Here is a 13747-nt window from a genome sequence, read left to right on the forward strand (position 1 = left end):
CACTGCTACCCTTCTGTAACATGGAATTTTAACTCTTCTCTCAATTTTAATACTTCTTTCAAAGTATCTCAAGATACTTTGCATTTGTTTGTGACATGGGGAGCATTTGATTTATGGTTCAGGTCTGGGTACCAATGTCAATTCATTTATAAAATATTAGTAAAGCTTAATTTCTTTTCAACTTTTTAGATAAAAATAATAAAAATAAAACTATTTCGGCCGGGTGTAGTGGCTCACGCCTGTAATCCCAGCACTTTGGGAGGCCGAGGCAGGCAGATCACGAGGTCAAGAGATCGAGACCATCCTGGCTAACACGGTGAAACCCCGTCTCTATTAAAAATACAAAAAAATCAGCCAGGTGTGGTGGCGGGTGCCTGTAGTCCCAGGTACTTGGGAGGCTGAGGCAGGAGAATGGCGTGAACCTGGGAGGCAGAGCTTGCAGTGAGCTGAGATTGCGCCAGTGCACTCCAGCCTGGGCGACAGAGCGAGACTCTGTCTCAAAAAAAAAAAAAAAAAAAAAAAAAAGTAGAACTCTTTTCTTCCCACACCCAGTAGATCATCTTATGTACCTCCAGGGTTGTATCTACCTCACTTTGCAGACTACTGGTTTGTACTTACCGTTTCCATGGCTTTACCCTCTATTCATTCTTCAGCCCACTGTAATCAGGCTTCTGCATCTATTCCTCTGCCAGCACAACTCTGGTTTAAGGTCATTAGTAAGTTACCTTATCATAACATACAAGACTTTTTATAATGTCCCCACCCCATTTCATACATACATAAATAGACCTTTCTGGTCTTATTACCTACTAAGACCCCTCCTTTAGAGGCCTTATCATTTGCTTTAGGTTTAGGAACCTGTTTTCAGTTCCCCACAAGTACCATAATCTCTCATTCCTCCAAATTTTTGCTATTCCCTCTTATAGTGGAATATGTCTGCTGTTCAGAAGCTCCTTAATTGTTGACATTTACTATGTGCCAGGCAGAATGCTTTGCATGCCTTTCTTCATTTAATACCCACATCAACCTGGTAAGTTTAAGCTCCTTTATTTTAGAGGTAGGACAAGGCCTAGAAGAGGTTGTATAATTTGCCTAAGGCATACTAGAATTCAAACCCAGTGCTTTACTAATTATGTTATGCTGCCTTCCCTTACGAAAAGGAGTTTATTTTCTTTTTTATACCTGGCACCTAGCACAAGGCATAGCAAATATTATATTTGTTGAATGAATAAAGTGAGGTTTGAGCTAGTCTTAAAGAATGAAAATGTTCTAGGCAGGAGAAAACATGGACAAATACAGAAAAGAGAGTATGTCTACAGCACATTTAGAGAACAATGACCTGGTCACCATGGGTTAAAAGGTATTTCACTGAGGGTAGCATTCAGGGGTCTTTCCATTCAAAGTTTTCTTGAAGCTTCCCCACCTGTTGCTGCTGTAGTCATCTCTTGTTCTTTGTAGCAAAACTCCTTTAAGTGGTAACTATCTGATTCCTCTACTGTTCTTTTGAATCCAGTTCACCGAGGCTTTTAGCCTCACTACTCCACTTAGAATGGCTATTGTTAGGGTCACTAGTGACTTCTGTGTTGCTAAATCCAGTGGACATTTTTCAGTCATCTTACTTGATCTGTCAGCATCATTTGACACAGATCATCACTCCATTCTTAGATACCATGCTGTCTTGGTTTTCCTCTTACCTAACTAATTGTAAATTCTTTGTCTACTCCTCAGCCTCTGAATGATTGATCGAGTGCTCCAGTCTCAGCTTTCATAGTCTTTTAATCCACACTCACTCCTTTACTGATCTAATACAGTCTTCTCTTTAAATACCATCTACATGCTGATGACTTTTCAGTTTATATCCCTCTGTAACCCTGATCTCCCTCCCTGAACTCCAGACTCACCTAGCTAATTTCCTATTAACATCTCCACTTGGATGTCAACTAGACACCCCAAACTTAACATCCAAAATTAAACTCTCTATCATCCCCCTAAAAAGCTTCTTCTCTTGCAGTGTTTCCCATTTTCAGTTTATGGCACCTCCAGCTTTTCACTTGCTAAGGCTAGAACTTTAGATTCTCTCACACTCCACACTAGCCTGTCAGGAAATCCTTCATTATGTATCGAATGAACCACTTCACTGTTAATACCTTGTGCACTCACCTGAATTATTGCAGTAACATTCTAACTATTCTCCCTTACCTTTGATGGCCTACTGACTGTCCTCAATGCAGTAGCCAGAGTGACCTTTTTAACCTAAGTTAAGAGGATCTCATCATGCAAAACCCTGCAATGAATGATTTTCCACTTCCATCAGAATAAGATCTAAAGTTATAATATCCTACAAGACCAATCTGGTCTTCTCTGTTATCTACCTGATGTCATATCCTACTCCTCTTATGTATGGTGGGTCAGCCACACCAACTTCTTTACTGTTCTTCAGACATGCCACTGCTCCTGCCCCAGAGCCTTTGCTTTTACTCTTCTTCCTCTGATGCTCCTTCCTCAGTCACATTACTCTCTCTCTAATCCCTTCAAGTCATTTAAATAACTCATCTCAGTGAAGCCTTCCCTAACCATCCTATTTAAACGTATAACCCGGCCGGGCGCAGTGGCGCACACCTGTAATCCCAGCACTTTGGGAGGCTGAGGCAGGCGGATCACGAGGTCAGGAGTTCGAGACCAGCCTGACCAACATGGTGAAACCCTGTCTCTACTAAAAATACAAAAATTAGCCAGGCATGGTGGCACACATCTGTAATTCCAGCTACTCAGGAGGCTGAGGCAGGAGAATCGCTTGAACCCAGGAGGCGGAGGTTGCAGCGAGCCAAGATGGCGCCATTGTACTCCAGCCTGGGCGACAGAGCAAGACTGTTTCTCAAAAAAAAAAAAGTATAACCCATACATACTAGTTTACCCTCATGGGTTATTCCCCCAGAGCACTTATCACCTTCTAGCATATTATTTAATTAACTTTAAAAAAATTTTATTTACTTTTCTGTCCATGCCAGAGAATAAGTTCTGTGAGGACAGGAATTTTTTCTTTATTTTCTTTGTGATACCTGCCTGAAATAGTGCCTGGCATAAGTAAATAATAAATAATTACTGGATTGAGTTAGATTAAATAAAATTATTTATTTACATCTGAAAATCTTTTGTTTTTTTTTTTTTTTTTTTTGACAGAGAGTCTCACTGTGTTGCCCAGGCTGGAGTGCAGTAGTGCAGTCTTGGCTCACTGCATCCTCTGCCTCCTGGGTGCAACCAGTTCTCCTGCTTCATCCTCCCAAGTAGCTGGGATTACAGGCACGCGCCAGCATGCCTGGCTAATTTTTGTATTTTTAGTGGAGATGGGGTTTTAGCACGTTGGCCAGGCTGATCTCGAACTCCTGACCTCAGGTGATCCACCCACCTCAGCCTCCTGAAGTGCTGAGATTACAGGCGTGAGCACCACACCTGGTCGGGGATCGTTCTTTTCGTTGCCTGAATCATTTCAGATGGTTTTATTGTGGTTTGGTTGATACACAAAAAGCTGTACATAGTTAATGTATACAACTTGATGAGTTTGGAATTCTAAGTAAATACCTGAGAGGTATTACCATAATCAAGGCCATAAACTTTGTCATCAAAACAGTTTTTGTATTGGCATAAAACAGACATATTGACCAAAAGAACAAAAGAAAGAGTCCAGAAATAAACTCATGCATATATAGTTATCTTCAACAAGGGTGCCAAGAATACACAATGGGGAAAAAAATAGTCTCTTCAATAAATGGTTTTGGGAAGACTGGATTTCACTAAAAGAATGAAATTGAATCCTTATCTCACATCATACACAAAAATCAACTCAAAATAGATTAAAGACTTAAATGTAAAACCTAAAACAATAAAACTCTTAGAAGAACACTTAAATTAGCCAGGCATGGTGACACACCTGTAGTCTCAGCTACTCCGGAGGCTCAGGTGGGAGGATCACTTGAACTTGAGAGGTTGAGGCTGTAATGAGCTGTGATCACACTACTGCATTCTAACCTAAGCAACAGAACAATACCCTGTCAAAAAAAAAAAAAAAAGAGGGAGGAGGAGCAGGAGGAGCAGGAGCAGGAGACGTGAGAGAAAAAGCTTACGGACATTGGTCTTGGCAATGATTTCTTGGGTATGACACCAAAAGCACAGGCAACAAAAGCAAATATAGACAAGTAGAATTACATGAAACTAGAAAACTTCTGCACAGCAAAGGAAACAGTCAACAAAATGAAAAGGCAGCTTAAGAAATGGGAGAAAGTATTTTCAATCCATATACCTCAAGAGGTTAATATCTAAAACCTATTAAAAAACTCTTAATAGCCAAAAAAAAAACCTGATTTTAAAATGGGCAAAGAACCTGAATAGACATTTAACCAACGAAGACATGCAAACAGACAACAGGTACATGAAAAGGTACTTAACATCACTAATGCAAATCAAAACCTCAGTATCACCTCATACCTTGTTAGAAGGGTTATTCCAAAAAAAAAAAAAAAACCTCAAAAAACAAAAGATAATCGATGGTAAGGATGTGAAGAAAAGGAAATCTTTTTACACTGTTGGTGGGAATGTAAATTAGTATAGCCATTATGGAAAACAGTGTGGAGTTTTCTCAAAAGATGAAAAATAGAATTATTTGATTCAGCAATCACGCTTCTGGGAGTATATCCAAAGGAAATAAAATCACTGTTTCACAGAGATATCTGCATTTTCATCACATGGTCCTTACAGCACTGTTCACAATAGCCAAGATACTGAAACAACCTAAATGTCTATCAGTCAGATGAATGGATAAAATGTGCGTATATATGTATACACACACAGAGCAGAATCAGTAGAGTATTATTCAGCCTTTAAAAAAAGAAGGAAATCCCATCACTTGGAACAACATGGGTGGATCTGGAGGGCATTATGATAAGTGAAATAAACCAGGCACAGGACAAATACTCCATGATCCCACTTTTATGAGGAGTTTAAAATAGTGAAGCTTGTAGAACTAGATAGTAGAATAGTGGTTATCTGGGGCTGGGGAGAGGAGTAAATGGGGAGGTGTCAGTCAAAAGATACAAAGTTTTAGTTATGCAAGATAAGGTCTGGAGATCTCCTGTGTAGCAGAGCCTATAGTTAGCAATACTGTATTGTATACTTAGAATGTTGCTAAGGGAATAGGTCTTACGTTAAGTGCTCTTACCACAAAAGAAAAAAATACTTTTCAAAGATTTTGAGGGGTTTGGGTGCAGTGGCTCACGCCTGTAATTCCAGCACTTTGGGAAGCCATGGCAGGAAGATTGCTTGAGCCCAGGAGTTTGAGACCAGCTTGGGGAGCATAGTGAGACCTTGTCTCTACTAAAAATTAAAAAATTAGCAAGGGGCATGGTGGCGTGTGCGTGTGGTCCCAGCTACTCAGGAGGCTGAGGTGGGAGGATCATTTGAGCCCGGGAAGTCAAGGCTGCAGTGAGCCATGATCATGCCACTGCACTCTGGCCTGGGCAAGAGACTCTATCTCAAAAACAATTTTTTTTAATGAATAAAGAGGGCAAAAGGAAAATCTTTTGGAGATTTTAAGATTCGTTTACATAGACTTTACAGCCTTGAAAAAAGATATGTAAGCCCCAAATATAAAGAAGATACATTTGACCAGCAAGATTTATTAACAGCTATGGATCTACGTGTGCCATATCATGTTCTTCAGTGTAATTTCATGTTTTTGTCCAGCGATTCACAGAGGACTAGATTTTAGATTGCCTTTCCTCTCCCACAACTGACAAGGCTTTAATCAGGGCATTAAGGAGTTCTAAATAGGTCTTGCTTTTGAATCTGCATATCAGGAGGGGGCTGGGAGCATGAGCGGGAGGATGTCATGTCTCAGTGATTAATGATCTCTAGGAAGCTGAAAAGGGGAGTGTAATATACACAGTATTTCTACCCCCTGGAGTAGGAATGCAAACACTATTGTGCAGATCTGTGCATAGTCACTGACTTCCTGGTAGCTGGAGAATTTCATACACTCTTCTACCACAAATAAAACTGTCAGAGAAGTGACAGAGCTCAAAAAGCTGGCCTTCCTTACTTAAAAAGAATAGCTCAAACACAGTGAGCCAGAAAAATTAATTTTGTAGTTGTTTGGAAACCAAGTTGTTAAATAAGAAATAAGAAAATGGGAACTTTTCTTGAAAAGCCTAAAACCTCCAAATATTTGTTGAATCAAACTCTACATTTGGTTTCTTAAATTTACTGAATTCCTGGAAACTGCTTACTTTAAACGAATTTAAAGGGGAAACATTCCTTTGTAATGAAATGACCCATCTGAAACTTTTCAATCTGGTCTCTGGTAGGTTCAGAGCATCATACGGTCAGTGTATTTAAGAGCCTATTGCCTGATGTTTAGGGAAAAAATCATAACATTTCAGAATGGCTTGTATACAGTTTTTGAAAATAATTCTAAGGTAGAGTTATTTCCCCCCTTTTATTCTCAATGAATCTATGGTATTATTTAGTAACAATTTCTAAGTGCTTAAGATAGAAGCAAAACGTTCTGAACTATAGATAAGATAAACTACAGATATTTGCAAAAAAAAGTTTTAAGAGAAAGTTTTGGGGAAAGCTTATATTTCAGCCACCTTTGATTATTTACCAATAACCAAATATAGAGATTTTGTGCATAACACCAGTAGCAGCAGCAGTATTTGGTTTTAGTGAGGGCAATCAAATAACTTGTATTTTACTAGGAACCATTTATTCATATGACTTGTTAAATTATTTTTTGCTCTTGATTCATTTTTTTGATGCCCTATACATTACCACTTTCTGTTCTGCATTGTCTAACTTTTCAACTGACTTGTTACTGGTTTTTATTTTTCCATAATATAAAAAGAAAGGAAATATTCATTCTTGGGGAAGTGGAGCACAATTCAGGGTAGAGGAAAGAAAAATTTTTGTATTTCTATTTCTTTGTTTTTCTGTTTGTTTTGCTTTATTTTTTAGGGTGTCACTATAATCTAAAGTAGAAGGAGCTACTGGTCTAAATTAAGATAGTATCAGATAGATTAAGCTCTAAATTTGGTTTCCAAGTGGTTGGACTTTTAAATTGCATTTGCAGGAGTTTATTTTTAGTCAGGATGTGGTTATTTTTAGATCTGCTTCTCTGTCACTAGGAAATAAAATGCCTGTCTTTCCATTGTTGATCAGGAAGTTCTAAGGCACAGGCATATAAGAGCCAGTTAGCCCAGAACACCACCACTCCTTTTAGATGAAAGAATATGAAATAACTCATGGAAGAAAATATGTTTGTTGAGAACATATCTAATTTTGAAATTGTTAGTGTCATTTTAATCTTTTGTACACTGAACAACAGAACAAGGTTTTTAGGGAATGCCAAAAATATAAGGTTTGGGTTCCCCCTACTGGTGTGCATCCCAGTCTCGTGTATTCATTAATACACAGCTGAAAGGCCTAGGGGCTAGAGATTAGAAATAGCTATATTAACTTCATTTAGAGACCTGATGATAAGAAAGAGAGAAAAAACTCCATTTCCCTTTTTCTGCATATGTCTTACAAAAATTGGGATGATTTTTAAATTGTATTTTCTACATTTAGAAAGAATAAAACTTAATTCTACCATATTTGGTTTATTGTTGTTGCTACTGATAAGCTGCTTATTTTCAGTGTTTCTCAAATGCTTTATGTTGTAATCTAAGGAATAATAAAACACCAGTGGATCCACAAAAGGATTTAAAATCCCAGGGAAGAAATGCAAAGCTAGCATTGTTGCCATAATAAAATTAAGGAGCTGGCATTAAAGCTCACTAATTCCTATTTTAGCATTTCAGAAAGTGACATGACATCATGTGATTGTGTCTGTCTATTCAACATTTGTTTTTTTTCTAATTTGTACAACATATATTTGAAACAGTTTTTTATTTCCTATCTCATAGTAAGTGTCAAGTGTCCATAATGGCTCATTTTTGGAAAAGAAATATTTTAATTGACTCTTAAAAGTCACTTTTGAACTTCTTATTATGTTTGCATTTTAAAGGACTATTCAATCAAGTTAAAATATTGTATTTTTTTAATTGCTTTTCAGCAATGCAGTCAACCTTTTAAGCAATGTTCCAGTCTCTTGTTTGGATGTTCTCATTTGTCCGTTAACCCATGAAGAAACAGCCCAAGAGGCAACGACTCTAGATGAACTGCCCAGTAATAAAACAGCTGAGAAAGAAACAGTTTTGAAAAACAATACCATGGTATACAATGGTATGAATATGGAGGCCATTCATGTTTTACTGAATTTTATGGAGAAGAGAATAGACAAGGTAAGGCTGATAAAATGGAAGCCCTGGGAAGATGCTTCCAAAGAATGTAAATGTGCCATACATACAGACACACATCACAGAGCATGATTTTTAAATCTAAGCTTTTTTTCTGACTGATGTGCTGCATAATTGTTTTTACTTTGGAAAGCAGTTTATTACAATATATGATAAATTGCTGAAGCCATGTTAATTTATTTGTTTAATGCTGAAAATTATGTTCATGCAACACCAAAATTATGACTAGTGCTTGAAAACAAAGGAAAAAGTAATTACTGTTCCATTTTGTTACTTTGTGAGTCCTAGAAATAAAAAATATCCCCCCAAAAACTTGCTAAATACTCTTCATAATACCTAAAAGACATCTTCCCAAAAAAAAGAAAAAAGAAGACCTTGTCAATTTCCCATTTGTTGTGAGCTGTTTATACATTCTCTGGTCTATCACTCACTTTGTCAGGTATCTGTATTAAAAGGCAGCAAGGTAGCATAGTCCAGTCACCAAAATTTTGCTTCATTCAAGCCCTTTGGCTAAGCCCATGGGAATCCTAGAAAATGTAGGAACATCCAGGAAGGACCAAAAAAGGCAATAGTAAACATGAAGATGATAAAATGGAAATGTTTTTAGGAAAAGAATTTTTAAAATAGTTTGTAAGCTTAGGTAACATAAGATGTCCCCACCTCGTGGATCACGAGGTCAGGAGATCGAGACCATCCTGGCTAACATGGTGAAACCCCATCTCTACTAAAAGTACAAAAAATTAGCCAGGTGTGGTGGTGGGCACCTGTAGTCCCAGCTACTCAGGAGGCTGAGGCAGGAGAATGGCGTGAACCCGGGAGGTGGAGCTTGCAGTGAGCCGAGATTGCGCCGCTGCACTCCAGCCTGGGCAACAGAGGGAGACTCCCTCTCCCAAAAAAAAAAAAAAAAAAAAAGTCCCCACCTCAAAAACAAATTGATATCCTCAGTTACATGAAGGAAAGTAATACTGTTAGAAACAAAACTAACGTATTTCAAAAACATATGGTTTTTTTTTTTATAGGGAAGCAGCTATAGAGAGGGTCTAACTCCAGTTCTCAGCTTATTAACCGAATGTTCCCGAGCCCATCGAAACATCCGAAAATTTCTCAAAGATCAGGTAACTGCTTAATGCATATTACATTGCAAAGTTAGTCTTTTTATGTGCATTTTAAACATAGAATTAATTGAATTTTCTCACAATGATTTTGTTTCAGATAATCAGAAACTCAGTCTTAATCTTTGAAATCTTCTTAATCAAGAAGTGTGTATTTTTTGAGTCATTCATTCAGCAAATGCTACCGAGATCTGCTGTGTGTGCTGTGTTTTGGGCATTGAACAACAGATGAAGTCTTTCCCCTTGGGAAGTTTATTTTGTAGAGAGGGGGACAAAAAGTAAACAAATTTAAAATATAATGGCAGGTGGTGATAAGCATTCTGAAGAAAGGTAAAGCATTTTAAGAGAGAGGAGACACTTTAAGGGAACAAGGGAGGACCTCTCTGAGATGACATTTGAACAGAAAGGTGGAAAAGTAAGAGTATCTCTGAGAATGATTGGAAAGGAATGTCCCTGAGAGAACAAGTTCACAATCCCTGAGACAAGAGGATGCTTTGGTACACTTAAGGAAAAGCAAGAAGGCCTGTGTGACTAGGCCACAATATGCAAGGGGGAGAGTGGTAGATAAAGAGAGGTAACAAGAGCCAGATACAGCAGGCGGTGTAGGACTTTCCATTCTCTTCTAAGTGAGATGAGAAGATATTGGAGTGTTTTAAGAGGGGAAGTGATGTGACCTTATTTATGCTTAAAGATATCCTGGCTACTATTTGTAAGATTGACATAGTGGAGCACAAATGGATGCAAGGAGACAAGTCCAAAAGATAACTGATGTTGCATGTTTGGAGTAGGATGGTAGTGGTTAGAGTTCATACTTGGGGATATGTTTTAAATATTTTAATATGTCTTAAAAGTAGCTCACAGAACTTGCTGATAGATTGGAGTATGGGTTGAAAAAGAAAAAATAAGGGTGATTTTTAAACTTTCAGATTATATCTTAGACTACAAGTGTAAGACTTTGATTGTAACAATACCTGAAACTAGCCTCCTCTAAAATCCCAATTTCAAGCACCTTCTCTTATTTAGTACCCTCAATCCAACATTCTTTCTTCCTCGGAGGATTGTCAGTCTGTCATTTTTTCCCACTGTTCTTCACTCACTTGTGCCTTCTCTCCTTACCCAGGCTAGATTCCACCTGAGGTTCATTACTATAATCACTCCTTTCCATACATCTCTAACTAGCACCTTGTGCGCTCCCTCAGTCGTACTCACCTGGCAAAACCTAACAAACTGGCTAACTCCAGCTTTCTTCCTACTCTGGGTCTCCACCAAGCACTTGAACATGATAAGAGAAAATGACACAACCATTTTGACGAGTCTACTTTAAATTTAAGACCACCAGCCCCAACCGGTTCCTTAGCAAACTCCAAGATGACTATTTCACAGCTTTTCTTCACACCTCCAATGCTTACTGCCCTCTCCTCACTCTCATTTCTTGACTTTGTTTCCTGTTTCATCATGAAATTAAGAAAAAACTTTATCTTTCCACCATTGCATCTGCTATCTGTCTGCATCTATACTGCCATATCCCTTGTATTCCCATCTGTCACAATGGATGAATCATTGCTACTTCTGTGGCCAGCATTTGTCCTGGATCTCTTTCTCTCTCATTAACTTTGCACCTGCATTTATTTCCCCTCTCTCTCTTCTTATATTAATCATTTTAAAAAATGTATTGGATCATTTATCAGCACCCAAACACATCTTTCATCTTAAAAACAAAAACACCTTCCCTTATCCCACTTCTCAAGCTGCCTTTCTATTTCTATGCTCCTCTTTATGCAGTGTCCTCAGAAGAGTTCTCTGTACTCACTCTCTCTATTCTTTTTACTCGTTTTTGACTCCTAAACCCTCTGTAGGCTACATGCCTTCCGCCCCACTGCAAAGGTGTTTATCAGAGTCACCAACTCAACTTTGCCAAAGCTAATAGTTCTCAAGTCTCTTTTTTTAAATTCTCCAATAGAATTTGATGTAAGTATTCCCTCCTCCTTGAAATACTTTCTTCACTTGGTTTCTAGGACACAATAGAGAACCTCTTTGTTGATCTTCCTCGTTTTCCTAACCCTAAATGTTTGAGTGCCCCGAGGCAATACTATCTTGTCTCTATCTCTGCTGCCATGGTGATCTCATTCAAGAGTCATGGTTTTGAAAATCATCCATATATGCTGATGACTCTCAAATTTATATCTCCAGCCCTGACCTGTCACCTAAGCTCTAGACTTATACAGTGAACTGCCGACTCATCTCCTCCTCTTGGATGTATAGTAGGTATCTCAAGTTTAACATACCTCAAACTAATATCTTGATTTTCATCCCTCCAACCTATTTCTTCCCCTTCTTTCCACATTTCAATACGTGGTACCACCATTCACCCAATTGTTCATTTATCACTACATAGAATCTCCCCTAATAAATGAACCAGATTCATTTTTTCCCTCTGTATTTATGGTCAAGATTTAGTAAGCACCTTACTGTATCTAGAAACACTAATAGGTAGTGCTGATAAGGAGAGATTAGAAAATAGAGACCATCTTTGAGGAATTTACAGTCTGTTGAAAGAAGAGAAATACCCAGAAAGCATGAATAATGATTTAGGCAAGATTAATTAATTAATTAAGGTCATTTCCACATTTGATTATTTTAAGACATTCTCCCTTGACTAGGAGGAGTTGGTGAAGCACAGTAAATGAAAATACTTTTTTTCTGCATTTTCGCTTTTTTCCACAAGGGATCCAGGTACACCTAAACTGTTTAGATTTTGCTATCTCTAAACAGAACAGCCAAAAAAAAAAAAAAAACCTATTAGTTAAATACTTCTTAATATGAAGGCCTTGGGCCACATATTGTGTCATTATAAAAGATTATGTGACCCACTGTCTGTCTTCAAGAAACATTACAGTAGAGGTATGGAGATGAAACATGACAGGTAAAAAGATAACTAAAGATACAAGGCATAATACAGAAATCAACTTTCCTTCTGAAGAGGATGCACTGTAGACTGTTATGATCAAGAAAGGCAGAACTTAAAGTACAGATGATTAACTCTGATAATAATGTAAGTGGAACCTTGATTTATTATTATGCCCTGTAGTAAATACCTGGTTAAATCCAACTCATGCCTATCCAAAGGAAATTGGTCTATATTCTGTGTTTGGGAGGTAGAAAAGAAAGCAAGTGGTAGAAATTACTGACCCAGGTTGTATTATTCTGGAGAGGCTTATAGAAGCAATGAGTATTTGGGGGATTTGAAAAAGAAACTGGACAAGATTTGTCAAAGAAAAAATTTGTTGGAGGTAGTATTCTAGGGGGAAATACATAGGCAGTTTGGGAGTGGTATATAACAATAACAACAAAATTTTGTTAAAAATTTGTTTTAAGGAACCAAAAATGTAGCTAACAAAATTTTTACATGATAACCTTTGTTCATAGATTCTGTACTCGAGGTACTATAGACATATACTACATGAAATCATTTGTTACATGTTTCATTCTTCTAGAAATGGGAGACGTACTAAGTATGGTTCAATAATGGTTCACAGTAGTAAGGATTTGTTGTGCAATTACTTTGTGCCTAGCATTTTGTTCTACCCAGCCAGAGACTGAAATATGGATTCCATAAACACTTTAGATAGGTTACTCAATTTTGTGAGATTTAGTTTCCATTTTTGTTTATAGCTGTGTCTCCCCTGCCTCTGATATCTCCTGATACATGGTGGATACTTGACATAGAAAGAGAGAGAGAGAAGAAAGTCATTTGAGTGGATCAAGTAAAATTATATATACATAAAGGATCTGGGATATAATAGGTGCACAGTAAGTTCTTATTTGACTTCGTGTCTGCCCTCATTTCTTAGCACAGTGCCTAGCTTATATAATAGAAGGCACTTAATAAAAGCTTCTTGAATTAATTCATTTTTCCTTCAACCAGCAAATATTCATTAAACACCTGTAATATGCTAGACACTGGGAAGAAAGCAGTAAACAAAACAAAGAAATCTCTGCCCCAGTGGAACTTGGTCTTGTGGAAGGAGGCAGACAAGTAAACAGATAATTATATACTACGTCCGGTGGTGACAAGTGCTATGAGAGAGGTTCTGGCAGAGTAAGGAGGTGGAGGTGTTGCAAAAAGAGAGGGCTAAAGGTTAGTGATATGGAGTGGTCAGGGAATGTCTCCTGTAAGTGACATTTTGGCAAACATCTGAAGAAAGTAAGGAGAGAGCCATGCAAGTTTCTAGAAAAAGAGTTTCTGGGCAGAAGGAGAAGCAAATTCAAAAGACCTGAGGCAGGAAA

At 37.8% G+C, this 13747-nt stretch overlaps 1 protein-coding gene across 25 annotated transcripts in view; it reads left to right on the forward strand.

Moving 5' to 3' along the window:
* The window catches only part of RIC8B (RIC8 guanine nucleotide exchange factor B), a 114635-nt gene that overhangs the window by 59803 nt on the left and 41085 nt on the right, over positions 1 to 13747 (forward strand). For all 25 annotated transcript variants that reach the window (NR_147135.2, NR_147133.2, NR_147137.2 and 22 more), the window contains 2 exons: positions 8105 to 8333; positions 9368 to 9463. Coding sequence is in view for 10 of the 25 variants with exons in the window: in NM_001351361.2 (NP_001338290.1) it covers positions 8105 to 8333; positions 9368 to 9463 (325 nt within the window). In the remaining 15 variants the exon portion in view is untranslated. The remainder of the gene's footprint in view (positions 1 to 8104; positions 8334 to 9367; positions 9464 to 13747) is intronic.

This window comes from Homo sapiens, chromosome 12 (genome assembly GCF_000001405.40).
Source record: "Homo sapiens chromosome 12, GRCh38.p14 Primary Assembly".
NCBI classification, from domain to species: Eukaryota; Metazoa; Chordata; class Mammalia; order Primates; family Hominidae; genus Homo; species Homo sapiens.